Raw genomic sequence first — 18032 nt, 5'->3', positions numbered from 1 at the left:
TAGTCACATAGTGAGACACCCATCTCTACCAATACTACTACTACTAGTACTCCTACTCCTACTACTATCAACTATAATTCACTGAACAGTTTCTAATACACCAGATTTTTTCCTTGAAGATATGTATTATTGGGAATCATAAAAACTGTGCAAGTCATTACCATCACATTTTATCAATGAGGAAACTGAGGTTCAGAGAGGTAAGTAGTTTGTGGTTCAGTCATTGGGTGACACAGATCCAAATTGAACAGACTGAACAGATTCCAAAACCAATTGTACATAATATTCCAGCTCTGTTGTCCCACCTAGAGGAGTGTCTACCTTGCTGGAAGTCTGGGACCAAGTAGGAAGAGATGAAGCCACTGTGGCAAGGACTTTAGGAAGAGATGTCTAGGGCCACATAGGTGCTTTCTCACTTAGCCTACAACTAGGGCCAGCACAAAAGCCCAGATTTTTTAAAATCAGAAGTTACTTTTTGAAGTATGTTTCAATATGGCCAAAGAAAAAGATCATCATGGTGAACTGAAACTAACAGGTATAATGTCACAGAGACAATTATTTTTGAGGTTTAATAACATATGTTAAGCTGCCATTTAAAAGAGATAGCAAGTCAGCCGGGCGTGGTTGCTCACGCCTGTAATCCCAGCACTTTGGGAGGCCGAGGTGGATCTCCTGAGGTCAGGAGTTCGAGACCAGTCTAGCCAACATGGTGAAACCCCATCTCTACTAAAAAAAAACCACAAAAAATTAGCTGGGTGTGGTGGCAGGTGCCAGCAATCCCCAGCTACTTGGGAGGCTGAGACAGGAGAATTGCTTGAACCCGGAGGCAGAGGTTGCAGTGAGCAGAGATCACGCCATTGCACTCCAGCCTGGGGGACAAGAGCAAGATTTTGTCTCAAAAAACAAAATAAATAAAAATAAAAGAGATACAAATCAAACACATTGAGAAATACATATAAAAAGTGGATCCCCTAGACTGAAGAGGAAGATACAAGAAAGTAGGCAGGAAAAAAAATAACTACCTCCCTCAGAACAACTAGATTATAAAATACAATTACCTGAATACAACTTTTGAGCAGTGATTTTTCACTGATACATTCTTAGAAACCAATTCAGTAGTTTTAAATAAAATATTTGAAAGTTCTCTCTATGTAACTGTACCACTAATAATCTACAATGCATGATGCTTATCATTACTATAAAAATTACAATTTTAAAAATGCCTTTCATCATTTTCATTCACCCACTCTTATTAAATAAAGTTAATGGTCATTAGGAAATTTTCCTATACTACTGAATGCCTTAAAGCCTTCATTTGGAGAATACATGTTGGCCTAGAAGGAATGCATTCCAAAATTTTCCTTTCCATCATGGCGTGTGTCTGTTTATGTGTTGTGCCCTATATGTAACTACAAGTTTATTTTGTCCTGTCCAGAAGACGGGGAGGACGGTCCCAGCTGCAGGCTGTTCTGTGTGGGAAGAGAAAAAGGCTGATGCTTAAAGGCCCTCCAAAGGAATCTACTTAAGCCTCATACCAGATTTGGGAGGACTGGTTATACCTGCCTAAACCTGGCACAGGAAGAACAGCACTCAAGCAATTCCTACCTTGGGGTTAACTAGGAATACAAGTTTCACCTTGTGACTCTGGTGTAACTTTGGTTTATTTTTCTCTTAGTAACAGCTCAGCTTGCAAATGAAAGCACTGAGACGCAACTCAGTTACATGTTTGAGGACTCAGGAAAATCAATTCTTACCTTCCACTCTTCCAAATGTAATGGTTGTATTCCAGCTTTACCATGCCCCATAAGCAAATGACTTGAGAGAGAGAGGTGGTTGGGGGCTGGGGGAGAAAAAGAAGAAGGAGAAGGAGAGGGAAGAAGAGGAGGAAGAACAGAGAGAAAGAAAGTGAGGGGAAAAAAAAGAAACAAACAAAAAAAGACAGGAAAAGTCTCTTAACATTGAAGAGATTGGATATCCAGTGTCAGAAAATTTGGATTTTCTTGGGAGTACTTATTTTATTTATGGTGGTAAATAAAGCCCTCAAGGAAGGTTATTAATTTATCTGTCCTATTTAGTATATTAAATTATACTACTTCATATTCTAGTGGCCTGAAAAAGTTAATTTACCACTTGAATGGCATAAATGATGAATACTTACACCAAGTCCTGGAATTTTCCAATGCTCAACAAACATTTAGTACTTTTTGTTTAGGTCTCGCTTTTTTTTTTTTTTATTAGTATCTACGAAAAAGGAAAACAAAATTGTAGCATTCTGTTGGGGCTAACAGGACAGCTGTTGGCTAGGCTAAATGCCATCTTGGAGTAAGAGATACTTTAACTTAGGGCACTGGTGCTGAGAGATGGAGAGAATATCAGAAAAGAAAAATGCAGGGTGGAAGTGTTGAGAGGGAGGGAGATGATGTCAAAATCCATTGGCTTCCAGTGTTTCTGCTCTTTTTAGCTGGGGTGCAGTAACCTTCCATCTTACAACTTTGGGTTTCTTTAAACTTCATGCCTGCCCTCTCTACCAATGTTTTATGAGCTGTCATGTGGGACTAGAATGGGATTCTGAAAATTAAGAGCTGATTTTTATTCCACCGGATATATCAGTTGCCTGGGGCAGTAAAATAATTTAGTTTTGAAATGAAATGTTATTCGTGGGAGACAAGTGCACAACAATTTACTTAACTTAAACAGTAGGATGAGGAGGAAGAGGCAGACACCCAAACTACATTTCATATGTAAAATAAGGCTTACATGACTTTTGGATGCTATAGAAATAAAATTTCTGTACTGAGGGGCATAATTATCCACATAAATCTTATATGAGGAACACAGACCAGTACAAAAGCAGCTGTATCTTTTGGTTATCTTGGAGGCAATATATAACCACATAAGGTAAAATTGGATGCTGCTTGCTTTCTCTAAAAGCTGTGAGGATGTCTTTCTGTTCCAGAAATTGCTTAATGCAAGTAAATGAAAATATACTGAATACATGAGTAAATTCATAAACAGAAATACAAATGAAATTTCTAAAGTAGGTCCTGGTGAGCCCCAATTTTATGAATTATTAGAAGACAATGCACCCAGAAACTAAGACACTAGCTTGAAGACTTTTTTCATTTCTTTTCTTTTTTTTTTTTTTTTTTTTTGTTGCTGATGTTGTTGTTGTTGTTGTCGTTGTTTTGAAACAGTGTCTCACTCTTGCGCCTTGGCTGGAGTGAAGTGGCTCGATCTAGGCTCATTGAAGGCTCCATCTCCCAAGCTTAAGCGATCCTCCCCACCTCAGCCTCAGGGAATGGATGGGACTGCAGGTGCACACCACCATACCCGGCTATTAATTTACTTTTGTATTTTTTGTAGAGACGAGGTTTCGCTATGGCTTCAAGACTTTAAAAGGCAACAATGACTCTTTTGAAATTGCCTGCATTATCAAATGCCTGAAGTCAACCACAATGAATGGTGAGTCTGGTTTCTCCATGACACTAGCAATCCTCTGAAATAAAGGAAGTTAGAATTCCAGAACACGTTTGGGTCTCTGACTCTTCCTCGGTGGCTTCCAGGAGTTTAGGTCAGCCTGCAGGCCCGACCGGAACCCCCGACACCCCTCCACGCGGATTCTTTACATCTCCCTCCCTACCTTGTTTACGCCCTAGGGGGTAGGGAAATGAACAGTCAGTCAGGTGAGACCCAGCAGGGGGAGTGGTGAGCTGGTCCGAGGGCAGCCCGAATATGTCCCTGGGTGTGGGTATGGGTGTGGGGCAATTTGGGTGGGAGCAGCGTGGAGGCTCCCAGGACCAAGTCCTGCGCCTCTTTGGCGGGGTGTGTGCAGGAGGAGGGGGGATAAATAGGAGGCTCCCTCCTCCCGGCGACATTCACGGAGCCGGCCGGCCTCCCGCCCTGGGTGTTTCCCTGCCTTGTAGCCAGGGTGCCAGCCTGGGAAGTAGTTTCGTTTCCTTCTGCCTCCGGGATTAGTTTCCAGGCACCCTCTCAGGCGCCCGAGGCCCGGGAAGGGGGCGAAGAAGGAGGGAGACTTGTCTAGGGGCTGCCCGGCCCGGCAGAGCGGGGTTGATGGACCGGGCCGCCCGGTGCAGCGGCGCCAGCTCCCTGCCACTGCTCCTGGCCCTTGCCCTGGGTAAGTGGCCGTGCTGGGCACTGGAAACCAGGAGGAAAGTCTGGGGCTGGAGTCGCGGGGAGGGCGAACCCTGAACCGAGCTGGCATCTGGACAAGAGGGCGCGCTGGGGCTGGCAGGCGCGGGTTGGAGAACTTTGAAGGCTGGGAGAGCGCGAGGTTAAAGATCTGGCAATTGGGCACCTGGGGCTGCACCTGCTGGAGGCAGTCCCTAGACGCGTGAGAAGGCCCGAGGGCGGAAGCGATTCCGAGGTCCTCGCTGCCAGTGCTGCGAGCAGGCCGCCAGCTGCTGACTTGTGCGCACAGCAGAGGGCCTGGCGGCGCCGGCGGGCTGTCCACCGGGGTGAGGCGCTGTGCTCGCAAGTGAGGGTCGGGGGGTGGGGGCAGGGGCGAGCAGGGAAACCCACTAAAGAAGCTCACGTGGTAGTATAGACCAAGAAGCATATCCTGCAGGAGGCAGAAGAACGGGAACTCTTTGACTGAAGGTGTGATCACCTGGCGTTAGGGAAGAGTGCCAGCGGGAGGAGGAGTAGCAGGATGCCTAGAGCCCTCCAGAGGGTCTCTCCTGCCTCCTTAGGAGTCAGAACTCACAAAGCAGAGCTGGAACTTCAGATGTGGCTGGAAGCAGGCTTCCCCTTCCCCTCCACCGAGGGAAGGTAGTGAGAAGGCTTCTAAGTAGGAAAAAATCCCAACTCTTCAAAGCTTGCTCTCTGCATCATGGTCATTTTGCGGGGCAGAGAAGGGAAGGGAAACCAGTAACATTTTCTAATCTTAGCTGGGCTGTAGACACATCTGGGTTTGGAGCATTTATGTGGTAGGAGGAGAGTCTCCACAGCTGAAGTGTCACCACGATATCACTCCTACCTTCAAGCCTGGGAAGGGGACACCACAAATGAAAAAGAATGGGAATTCCTCTTATTGAGGAAAGAGAGGGGGAGCCTAAATGAAAACTTTCATTTGACTGTGTCCTTGGAGTAAGAGAGGTGGCTAAAAAGGTACAGTGAACTTGCTTGGAGGTGGATCAGACTTAGGACCAAGGTTAGAGAAAATAAACTTATTTAACAAACGCTGAAGAGGAAGGAGTCAGTAACAATTTAGTGGTAGAGTGAATGTGTACATTCATGAAGAAGAGCAATGGGGTTGAGACTTAACCCTAGAAATAGTACTGATGCTTTTGCCAGCATTGCTTGCAAGTAGCTGACATTCTCTTCCTCCACCGTGTCTAAACTATCCAACAGTCAAAGTATTCCCTGAGAATCTGTCGTAGTCAGCAAGGTGCTGAGGTATGTAGCAATGGAGGTGGGGAAAGGGCTCATGAGATTCCTAAAATAAAACATGATTCCTGCCCTAGAACTTGCACTGAATTTGGATATGCAAGCCCAGCAGGGTAACCTGTGGAAAAATTCACGGAATCAGAAAAGGGAGAAAGAGCTCAACAGCGGGGGCTGGAATAGTGGGGAAAGGCTGAATGGAGGACACGAATGCGTGCCTTGAGGCTTGGGTAGAGTTTGCAATAGTAGAGAGGAAAGAGGGAACAGAGACAAGGGAAAAAGCATTTAGTAAAGGGTTGGCGATGCGAATGAGCATGCTTTACTGGAAAGAGTAGAATTTCTGAGAGGCAGACAGATTATGAAGAACTGAAAAAGCCAGATTAGAATATTTGGAACAGAATCAATAAGCTATTAAACACACACCATCACAGGGCTTGACTGGGAGTGATATGATGCAAACAATGGTTTAAAGGTGATAAATCTGTCAGTGAGGTGCAGTATAGGAAGGGGGGGCGCCTGTGGGCCAGAGGACCTGATTGTCTCGTAGGTATAATCTGGGCATGAGCTACTTGGGGCCTAAATTAGGGTGATGTTTTAGCAGAGGTGTCATAGTAGAAATGACTATTGAAAGTCGATGGACATTCTTTCCCCTTTACTATCACAAAACTTGTCAAAAGACAGAAATGAAAATCAAAAAGCAAAACTCGAATCCAGTGCTATTGTACACTCAGGGTAACCTAAATGTACAACCGCCCTGTTAAATGATTGGCTTGGGAAATTGAATTTGGTCTCTAGATCCCCTTAAAGCTCTATTTCTTGCAAAATGCTAAGGAACGTAATTTGTTGGCATCGCTGTTTCCATTAAGTGGCCCTATTTCTGTCATACACACTTTACTTTTAAGTCCCCTTCCTAAATTATGTCACATGTTGTTCTATTTACTTTTTGAAAAGAATGTGAGCAATAAGATGCATGAGACACTAGTGTTTGTGTGTGTGTGTGTGTGTGTGTGTGTGTGTGTGTGTGAGATGGTGGAAATGCGATGAGAGTGGGCATTGAGCAGACATGAGCCCTGGTTCCAGCTCTACCACTTCATGACTCCGAGATGTCTGTAAGTTACAACTTTCTGGGCATTGTTTTTCTAATTTGTAAAATGAAGAGGTTTCATTAGATGGTGATGCCCTTTCCATGTCACATTCTTTTCAAAAAGTAAACAAAATAACATGTGATTTAAATTAGAAATGGCTTATGTCTATTACAAATGTAGATGCTCCTTAAATACATCTGGCATTTAGTAGATGCATCTTTACAGGATAATTTCCATTCTAACATATGCAAATTAGGTACTACTTTCTTTGAGAAATTTTATAAAGACAGAAGTGGGGTTGGAGATATAAAAAGAAGGTATACCATAAGCAGATTATATGGTACAAATACATTTAATATAAATATAAATTACACGTTTATGTGTTATCGATATTCTTTATATGCATTAATTTGGTTTAATTTTCTAAAACTGTTTAAAGGCATTTTCTAAGTCAGTAGAAATCCTGAGCCATTTAATCTTACTTTCTCAAAAAATGAGATTTTCCAAAATGGGCTCGTATTTCTCTACTGTATTTTCTTTTTCTTTTTCTTTTTCTTTTTTCTTTTTTTGAGACAGTCTCACTCTTTCGCTCAGGCTCAGTTACAGTGGCATGATCTCAGCTCACTGCAACCTCCGCCTCCAGGGCTCAAGTGACTCTCCTGTCTCAGCCTCTCGAGTAGCTGGGACAACAGGCACTCGCCACCACGCCCAGCTAATTATTGTATTTTTTGAAGAGACGGGGTTTTGGCATGTTGGCCAGGCTGGTCTTAAACTCCTGGTCTCAAGAGATCGTAGCAGATAAATATTTGTTGCTGAATTAGGTAGGGAGAGATAGGACATTCAAGTGCAGAATGTCCTGTCTAGGGAGAGATAGGACACTCCAGTGCAGAGACGTTGCGTTGCATATAACAGGAAAAACCAATACTGGAAACCATTTCTTTTGACTTATTTAAAAAGCATGTAAGCTCATCCTAGCTGTCTCCTACACCTTTGCTTTCCCTACTGCCTACCCATACATCTGTGCCATCCCTGGCTCTGGCTATTCTCTGACAGATTCTTGGACTCCTGGCTCTTCCTTGCTTCCAGGAAACCCTGCTTCTCCTAGCTCAGGGCCAGGCTAGCCTGACTAATAATGTTCAGTTGGTATTGGTCAGACCAGGTGCTTTATTTTGGACTGTGTCTGGCCTGTGTCACTCAGTGTCTATTCTGATTCTATTCTAGTCTGACTCTATCCTTGAATTTGTGGGTGACTCCTGTATATTCTCCAGTCTGCTTAGTGCACCAACACCTAGAGGATGCTCCTTTGGGCAGATGGAGAAGGGGTGACATCGCTTCATAGTCTCCCTGATAGAACCCACATGGCAATTACTGAAAATGGGTAAAAAGAGCATATCTTGAGGCAGGGTCATGTAGTGGTCAAGCCTGTAAACTCTGAACCAGACCTTTGGGGCATGGCCTCCTGGTGCTGTGACTTGCTAGCTCTGAAACTTCGGGCAAGTCTCTTAAACCTCCTTGGCCCAGTTTACTCACCTGTAAAAGCTAATAGTAATAGGACCAATGCAATTACGTGAATTAAATGCAATACTATGTAAAGCCACTCAAAATGTGCCCCAAACATAGAATAAGCATGAGTTATTATAATAGACAGTAGGAAAGCACAGGACAAATCATTCATTGTTATCAATACCTCTTAAAATTTTTTGACATTTTGATTCTGGATACTTCCCGAATGTCATCAGGCTCTACTAATTAATGGGAAGACTTTCTGTTGCCTTCATTTCTCAAATTCCTGCTCCCGCTAGTTATGAAATAGGTAATAGATAAAAATCCTCAAAAAAGTTTTATTTTGACTGGGTTTGTCAAAAAGGAACAAATGTAAAAAATAAAGCTGCAAAAGTAAAATGCATATCTACTTTTGAAAAAATAAATGCCTCTACAGATTCTTCTTCCTCTGCCAATTTTGATCCTAATTTCATGCAATGAAGAGCTTTACTGCACTTGCCTAGCATTGATATCAGACACAGAAGTTAGACTGCACTAGCAGAGTAAAATAAAATATTTAGAAGGTAATTTTAATATTTTAGGAAATCTCATGAAAATCGGGTTGTCAGATTTATTTGAATTATATAAATAATTGCCTTAATTAAAAATAAATAAAACTGTCATTTTAGAATAATGGATGATGATGCAATGTCAAAAGTTGTTTCTCTATAAGAAAAATACATTAATTTAGGAAAGTTTTCTTAGGACAAAATAATTTTTTCAGATGCTCAAGAACAGATAGCCATGCATAAATATTTTTATTCTATAATGGTTGCCTTGTAACATTGAGAAAGTTGCTTAAACTCCTTTTGTGTAATTTTCTCACCTATAGAATGTTAATAAAGATAACTATCATTTAGAGACACAGAATTATTTTGAGGATAAAATGAGAAAATGCAGAAAAAGATTTTAGAAGAATAATTGGCAGGTAATATTCAATGTATTATTACTATTTTAACTTTGTGAATATTCAGATAACTTTTCAATTATTTCATAGGTATTTGTCTAAAAAGAACTAGAATCAGTGTTTATTAAGCTAATTGGAGTGTTAGAGTTTGTACTTTGATCAAAGGAAACTGCCATAATAGTCACCACTATTATGGAGGCAAGCAAAAGGAAAATAGGGCAGGAATTTGCCCACCATGGCCATGCTTTCAAAAGTGCTTTGAATTGTTTCCTTAGAATGTAAGCTCCACGATGGCAGGGATTGTTTACAGTTATAGCCCAGTTCCTATGTATAGTAGGTGCTCAATAAATACTTGTTGAATGAATGAATGTCAGTGGGGATAGTCCAGGAAGTCCTTCTAGGTCAGTAGCTTCTCAGAGTGTATCACAGAGATCTTGATGTGAACTTTTGTGTTTCCTCACATACACACTCACATCCACTCCCTCTCTCCCGACACACACTTCCTAGCTTTGATAATGAAAATGTAAGAATCGCTTTCTCCCAGAACTCAGTATCCTATCTTTAATGTCTTCAGATTTGCTAACGATGACTTACTTTTGATACACAGCTCCTTGCCAAGATGGCAGCTGACTCTGGTTTTGCCAAATAGGCAGACCAGGTATGAGTTTTGTTCATGAAAGTTGGTTGCTGACTATCGCAATTAGCAAAACATTAACATATCCAAATGCATAACTCTTTTGCTCATGGCACGGTGCTTGGCAGGTTGATGAAAAGTACTATCATTATTTCTAAACACGTGATAGTGAGGAAGGCAGACCTAAAAATTTTTACCATGTTAAATTTTACCATTTTAAAGTATGTCTAATACTGTTTACAGTGTGTCTAAAACTGTATTAAACATTAATGAGAAAAGTCTAATTGTAGGCCATTGTCTTTCTAGAAAGATTTACATAGAATAGAAATGTTCATTCCAAATGAAACATTGTATAATAGTTCAATCCTTAAGGAAGTTTAAATTGCATCGTACAGATTAAATATGATCTCAGAAAAGGATAATTTATTACAGGCTGGAGTGATTAGGGGAAAATTCACTAATAGTGACAATTCTTCCTTGGTAGTGGTGAAGGAAAAAATGGGAGAAGAATTAAAAGGTGGACAAATTAATAGCTACCATTTTTTTTGTGTAGCACTAAGACTCAAATATCTCAAACAAAAAGTTAATTTTGTGCAGTTCTAAAGGAAATATTGTCTGGATAAGAACATGATTTCCAAAATGAGGGCATTAGTCGGAATCCTGAATTATTGATACAGTTCTATCTCTGCAGGATATCCTAGGAATTGGAGGCAGGGGGTTTTGTAATTTAGACAAATTCATGCTTTTTGTTACAAGATAGACTTAAAATATTACATGGTTTCCTATCTGGGGAATTTGTTAAAATACTCTGGAAATATCTAGACTTCCTTTTACCTTATTCCCTACAGCTGGGGGACAAGCTGGCCCCACCTTTTGTGTAAGGTCCAGATGAGTGGTTTGCTGGTTTGCTTCATGATTCTTTTTCCCTGTTCCCTAATCATGTATTGCTAGGCTTTCTTAGGTTGGAGATGGCTCGTAATCAGGAGGTCCTCCAGGTCCATCTTAGAGTAGCAACAGCACCTGGGAAAAAAAAGACTTTACGTATGTGGGAACTAACACTGTGAAAGATTAAGTAGCTTCCCTAAAACATAGTATATGCCTAGAACTCAAATTCTGATCTTTTTGACTCCATATGTGCTTTCAACCCTACCCTATCCTGCTTTTATGCTTATTGATCTTAGGCAGTGCCAGACCCCAGCTGATACTGGATCTGCAAAGAATCACACATAAGTTGGTCAAGAATGCTCACAAGTCAAATTTAAGAGGAAAGCAATTGGATTAAAATTCATATGTTTTATATTGCTCAAGATGGCTAACCTTTCCAGATATATTTATATCTTAAAAAAAATCTTAGTATTTCAACTGTATATCTAATTGTTATAATTTAAAGAAACAATGAAAGACCTTTTTAGATGGTTGGAGGGAGAGGCAATATTTAATCTTAATTCACATCAATTAAACAAGGTCAAATAACCATGAAATGCTTTCATTTATTCTCTACATTTTCTTTCCTGAGGATATGTAGTATGTTACTTACCTGACTCATAGACTAGAGGTATTAATTACAAAATGGGGATGGGAAGTTTAACAGTATTCATATTCAGCCTCCTTGTTTTAAAGTGATGAGCTAGTTGCATAACAGGATGAACTACTAATATAACATTTTCGTCTTCGCAAGACTGTGGATTCATTCACTTGTTTAACTTTATTTAGTTTTTGAAGAGTTGCATAAGGAGTGCCTGACACATAGTAGGACCTCAAAATGTATTAATTAAATGAATGAATGAATGTAAGTGGCTGTTGGTGGAAGATGCCCAGCCAGTAAAATAACAACAGGTTAAGTAAAAAAAAAAAAAAATTGTATTTCTTGTTGGCAAAACACTGAGCCCAGATTCAGGGATGTGGTAGAAGGACAGGTTTCTCCATCCCTTATTATATGGGACTTGCTGCTGGCAGTGCTAGAGATTCTTTCACAAAAGGCTTTTCTTTTTCCCATAGCATTTCTTCTATTTCTCATGTTTTGTATTGAGGATTCAGACTGCTACATGTTTGGTTCAGGGCAGATTTTACTGGTCGAAATGTAAACTTTTAAAATAAGTGTCTAAGTTGGGGAGGGAAGGGCAATGGACTCAGGACACTCTCCAGTGGTTTATTTAAAAACACCCTTGAATTCTGTGAGATGTCAGATGATTTTCTCTCTTGTGTGATTAGAATTGTTTTCAACAGAAATGGTTTTCATTAATGGCGAGTAATCAAATTGTTGTATTCATGGGTTTATGTTTAGTATTAAAAAGAAAAACAAACTTTTGGCGGCTCCTATAGAAATGGAGATAGCTTCGCTTTGGAGGCTGACTGCAGCCTGAGTTGTTAGTGTTGAGAATCTCTAGCTTATTTAGTATTACATATAACGATTTCATAACAATCAATTGTCTGAACTCTTTAGTGGTTAAATTTAAGCACATTACACACAGATCTTTGTTCTCTAATCTTTGGAGTGAGCTGCATGGTCCAGGCCATCCTAGAATAGGCGAGAACCACTTCCCTCTGTCTTCTGGTGCAGAAAGCCTGTAGCACCACCAGGAAATTGTCATCAGAGCTGAATTAAGCACTTTCAGGACACTTACACTTGACTTGTTCACGATCACCTTCCTACTGAAATGCCATCTGAGTTTCTGACACTCAACTGGTCTCATCTCAGGGTGACAGACACAGGATGTTACTACGTATTCAGGTATCTCCTTGACCTTCTCTATAGAATATCAACATAGTTACTTACATTTTGGGGAAGCTTTATAATTGTAAAAGCATTTTAATACCCATTATCTCATTTGATCTTCACAATAAAAATAATAGCAGAACAGTTGTGTAATATGTGCCAGACACTGTTCTAAGAGCATAATAATTCATTTCATCTACATAACATTCATCTAACACAGGAGCTAGGTTGATATCATTATTATTCCCATTTATAGAGTAGGATATGAAACACAAAGGGATTAAGCAACTTGCCCAAGGTTCTGGCTTTAGGAGAACTATATGTGTGAGGTGATAGTTTTTTCTTAGTCCTGATAAATTTACCACAGTGATATGAGATGATAACATTAGAGGAAGCTGAAAGTGGGTAAAGGGTGTGTGAGAATTCCCTGCACTTTGCAACTTTTCTGTAAATATAAAATTGTTCCAAAATAAAAAGTTTACTACAAAAAAAGACACTGCAGGAAATTCCAATTACTAGCCAGTTTGGCTATTCGTCTGCTTAGAATGTAGGGCTTGACACATCAAAAATCTAGAAAGATCTCAAGTTAACAACCTAACATTTCAGCTAAAAGAACTAGAGAACCAAGAGCAAACAAACCCCAAAGCTAGCAGAAGACAAAAAAATACCCAAGATCAGAGCTGAGCTGAAGGAGACAGAGACATGCAAAAACCTTCAAGAAATCAATAAATCCAGGAACTGGCGTTTTGAAAAAATTAATAAAATAGACAGCTAACTAGACTAATAAAGAAGAAAAGAGAGAAGAATCAAATAAACACAATCAGAAATGATAAGGGGGATATCACCACTGACCCACAGAAATACAAACAAACATCAGAGAATACTATAAACACCTCTATTAACATAAACTAGGAAATCTAAGATAAATGGATAAATTCCTGGACACATACACCTTCTCAAGACTAACTCAGGAAGAAATTGAATCCCTGAACAGACCAATAATGAGTTCTGAAATTGAACCAGTAATCAATAGCCTACCAACCAAAAAAAGCCCAGGACCTGAAAGATTCACGGCTGAATTCTACCAGAGGTACAAAGAAGACTTGGTACCATTTCAACTGAAACTATTCCAGAAAATTAAAAAGGAGGGATTACTTCCTAACTCATTCTATGAGGCCAGCATCATCCTGATACCAAAACCTGGCAGAGATACAAAAACCAAAAAAGAAAACTTCAGGCCAATATCCTTGATGAACGTTGATGCAAAAATCAACAAAAGACTGGCAAACCAAATCCAGCAGCATATCAAAAAGCTTATCCACCACGACCAAGTTGGCTTCATCTCTGGGATGCAAGGTTTGTTCAACATATGCAAATCAATAAATGTGATTCATCATATAAACAGAACTAAAGACAAAAACCACATGATTATCTCAATAGATGCAGAAAAGGCCTTTGATAAAATTCAACATCCCTTCGTGTTAAAAACTCTCAATAAACTAGGTATTGAAAGAATATACGTCAAAACAGTAAGAGCCATATATGACAAACCCACAGCCGGTATCATACTGAATGGGCAAAAGCTGCAAGCATTCCCCTGAAAAAGCAGCAAAAGACAAGGATGCCATCTCTCACCACTCCTACTCAACATAGTATTGAATGTTCTGGCCAGGAAAGAGAAAGAAATAAAGAGTATGTAAGTAGGAAGAGAGGAAGTTGAATTATCTTTGTTTGCAGATGACAGGATCCTATATGTAGAAAACCCCATGTCTCAGCCCAAAAGCTTATTAAGCTGATAAGCAACTTCAGCAGGCTCAGGTTACAAAATCAATGGGCAAAAATCACTAGCATTCTTTTTTCTTTTTTTTTTTTTTTTTCGAGAGAGAATCTCTCTCTGTCAACCAGCCTGGAGTGCAGTGGCACTATCTCAGCTCACTGCAACCTCCGCCTCCCAGGTTCAAGCAATTCTCCTGCCTCAGCCTCCAGAGTAGCTGGGATTATAGGTGCCTGCCACCATACCCAGCTAATTTTTGTATTTTAGTAGAGACAGGGTTTCATCATGTTGGCCAGGCTCGTCTCGAACTCCTGACCTCAAGTGATCCATCTGCCTCGGCCTCCCAAAGTGCAGGGATTACAGGAGTGAGCCACCATGCCAGCCTAATCCCTAGCATTCTTATACACCAACAACAGTCAAGCCAAGAGCCAAATCAGGAATGAACTCCCATTCACAATTGCTACACAAAGAGTAAAATACCTAGAAATATAGCTAACAAGGGAAGTGAAGGACCTCTTCAGGGAGAACTGCAAACCACTGCTCGAAGAAATCAGAGAGGACACAAACAAATGGGAAAACATTCCATGCTCATGGACAGGAAGAATCAATATCATGACAATGGTCATGCTGCCCAGTGTAATTTATAGATTCAATGCTATCCCCATTAAACTACCATTGACATTCTTCACAAAATTAGAAAAAACTATTTTAAAATTCATATGGTACCAAAAAAAAAAAAAAAAAAAAAGAGCCGAATAGCCCCAGCACATTCCCAAACAAAAAGTACAAGGCTGGAGGCATCATTCTACCCAACTTCAAACTACACTGCAGGGCTACCGTAACCAAAACAGTATGGTACTGGCACAAGAACAGACACATAGACCAATAGAAGAGAATAGGGAACTCAGAGATAAGACCACACAGATACAACCATCTGATCCTCAACAAACCTGACAAAAACAAGCAATGGGGAAAGGAATCCTTATTTAATAAACGGTGCCGAGAGAACTGGCTAGTCATATGCAGAAAATGGAAACTGGACCCCTTCTTTACACTATATACAAAAAATAACTCAAGATGGATGAAATACTTAAATGTCAAACCCAAAACTATAAAAACTCTAGAAGAAAATCTAGGCAATAACATTCAGGACATTGGCATGGACAAAGATTTCATGACAAAAACACCAAAAGCAATTGCAACAAAAGCAAAAATTGACAAGTGGTATCTAATTAAACTAAAGAGCTTCTGCACAGCAATAGAAACTGTTATCAGACTGAACAGACAACCTGCAGAATGGGAGTAAAATTTTGCAATCTATCAATCTGACAAAGGTCTAATATCCAGAATCTACAAGGAACTTAAGCAAATTTACAAGAAGAAAACAAACCACCCCATTAAAAAACAGGCAAAGGACACGAACAGGCACTTCTCGAAAGACATACACGTGGCCAAGAAACACATGAAAAAGAGCTCAACATCACCGATCATTAGAGAAATGAGAATCAAAACCACAATGAGATACCATTTTCACACCAGTCAGATTGGCTATTATTAAGAAGTCAAAAAACTACAGATGCTGGTGGAGTTGCAGAGAAAAGGGAATGCTTTTACACTGTTGGTGGGGGTGTAAACTGGTTTAACCATTGTGGAAGACAGTGTGGCTATCCCTCAAAGACCTAGAGGCAGAACTACCATTTAACCCAGTAATCCCATTACTGGGCATATACCAAAGGAATATAAATTATTCTACTATAAAGATACATGCATGCATATGTTCAGTGCGCGGTATTCACAATAGCAAATATACGGAATCAGCCTAAATGCCCATCAGTGATAGACTGGATAAATAAAATGTGGTACATATACAACACGGAATACTATGCAACCATAAAAAGGAATGAGATCATGTCTTTGCATGGACATGAAAAAGTTGGAAGCCATTATCTTCAGCAAACTAATGCAGGAAAAGAAAACCAAACACCATTGTTCTCACTTATAAGCGGGAGCTGAATGATGTGAACACATGGACACATAGTGGGTAACAACACACACTGGGGCCTGTCGGGGGATAGGGAGAGCATCAGGAAGAATAGCTAATGGACGTTGAGCTTAATACCTAGGTGATGGGATGATGTGTGTAGCAAACCACTATGGTACATGTTTACCTGTGTAACAAACCTGCATATCCTGCACATGTACCCCTGAACTTAAAATGAAAAAAAAAGAAAATAGGGCTGGAAATATACCTGAATCATTTCACTGATTATAATTTCAGGGTCTAGCATAGTGCCTGGCATGCAATAAATCCTCAGTAAATGTTTGATCAAATATTGATTCCATGGATGTTTTGTGAGACTATGTGACATTACAAAAAAGAAAATGACTGACTTTTTTGGTCATGTCTGTGACTGAGACAAAGTCATAGAGATGGAAAGCAGAATGGGGGCTGGGAGGAGAGGCAAGTAGGGAGTTATTGTTTAATGGGTATAGAGTTTTAGTTTTGCAAGATGAAAAGAATTCTGGAGATGCATGGTGGTGATGGTTGCACAATGTGGATGTATTTAATGCTACCTTAAAAAAGGTTAGGATAATAAATTTTTTGTTATATGTATTTTACCATGACAAAAAAAAGTGAAAAAAAAAGACAGAGGTAGATTATTTGTGGCACACATATTTGTGGTGTGGGAGTCAGAAAAAGAGCTGGCAAAGTTGAGTAAAAAGGAGAGAATAAGCCAGGAAGCCAACAATGGGGGTGGATTTTAGATGGAAGATTTGGGAAAGTCAACCATATCAAATACTCTAATGTGGATGTGAAGGAGGATGAGGCTAAAGAAGAGGCCACGCTTGAGTGAGCTATGAGGAAATTACTGGTGCTCTTGAAAGACAAGGGATAAGAGATTGTTGGTAACTGAAGCCACACACACACACACACACACACACACACACACGTGACGAGAGAATAGAAATTGGGGTTGTGGATGGAAAAGAGACAAGCTTTGGCTTATGAGAGTCAACTTCAAATATGTGAAAAGTCGTTTCAACCAAGGTTTCCCCTGTATAGTTCAGAGAACACAGCTTACATTAGTGAACTAAAATTCCAGGAAGGCAGCATTTGGAAGAAATTTATTCCCCAAATGGAGCTTGGAAAAAAGTGGAGCCAGATGCCTTGGGATGTGGTGAGCTTCCCCTGCCTGTACACACATGTGGTCTGGATGGTACATAAATGGAGTTGTGTAAAGGTGATTCCTAAGCTGGGTAGGGAGTGGGCCATGACCATCAAGTTTTCTTATGTTCTTATGAGTACAGGATGATATTACTGCACTTTGGCAAGGTTTTTGAGGTTGAAAGATAGAATTTCAAAATACGAAACTCTCACATTGTGCACATGTACCCTGAAACTTAAAGTATAATAATAATAAAATTAAAAAAAAAAAAAGAAACTCTCAGTAGACTTCCCTGGGAAGGACAGAAGACTCAGGCCACTTGGAACCTGGGAAACCAATAACGAAGAATTTTTAAAAAGACAATTGAGCTTTTCCCCCAAAATTGAATTCAGTAACTGTGTTCTCTTATGGTCCTCATCTTGGAATATAGCACCAATCCTATGCCCCAGGCTTAGTTTTTGCATTAAAGACATTGCATATTTCATATTTTACCATCTATTAAAATAAGGATGACGGACTGATATCTTACTATGAAGGGTAAAAATAAAGCACAACTACAATAGGTAAATGACATTGACAAAAAATTCAAATATTGTTACATCGGGAGATAGTTATTTGTAACATTGCCATCCTGTGATAGAAGACTTCTGTGAGGAAAATCCCTGCTCATTTTTAGGTAAATGACAATCATCATGTAATGGAGGGTCAGAAGAGTGATTGTAAGTTTGGTTGAGATGTGAGATGAGACTACACAAAATAATAAACTTCACTTCCATTTGCCTTTGCAGAAACATAACGAAGAAT

At 39.9% G+C, this 18032-nt stretch overlaps 1 protein-coding gene across 5 annotated transcripts in view; it reads left to right on the top strand.

Moving 5' to 3' along the window:
- The first annotated feature begins 3873 nt into the window (after window positions 1–3873).
- Window positions 3874–18032, top strand: part of BTC (betacellulin) — a 49765-nt gene continuing 35606 nt past the window's right edge. For all 5 annotated transcript variants that reach the window (NM_001316963.2, XM_047416103.1, NM_001729.4 and 2 more), the window contains exon 1: window positions 3874–4135. In NM_001316963.2, coding sequence (NP_001303892.1) covers window positions 4072–4135 — 64 coding nt within the window. In that variant the 5' untranslated portion in view covers window positions 3874–4071. The remainder of the gene's footprint in view (window positions 4136–18032) is intronic.

This window comes from Homo sapiens, chromosome 4 (assembly GCF_000001405.40).
Source record: "Homo sapiens chromosome 4, GRCh38.p14 Primary Assembly".
Taxonomy (NCBI): Eukaryota; Metazoa; Chordata; class Mammalia; order Primates; family Hominidae; genus Homo; species Homo sapiens.
This window is presented reverse-complemented; position numbering and strand designations above follow the sequence as displayed.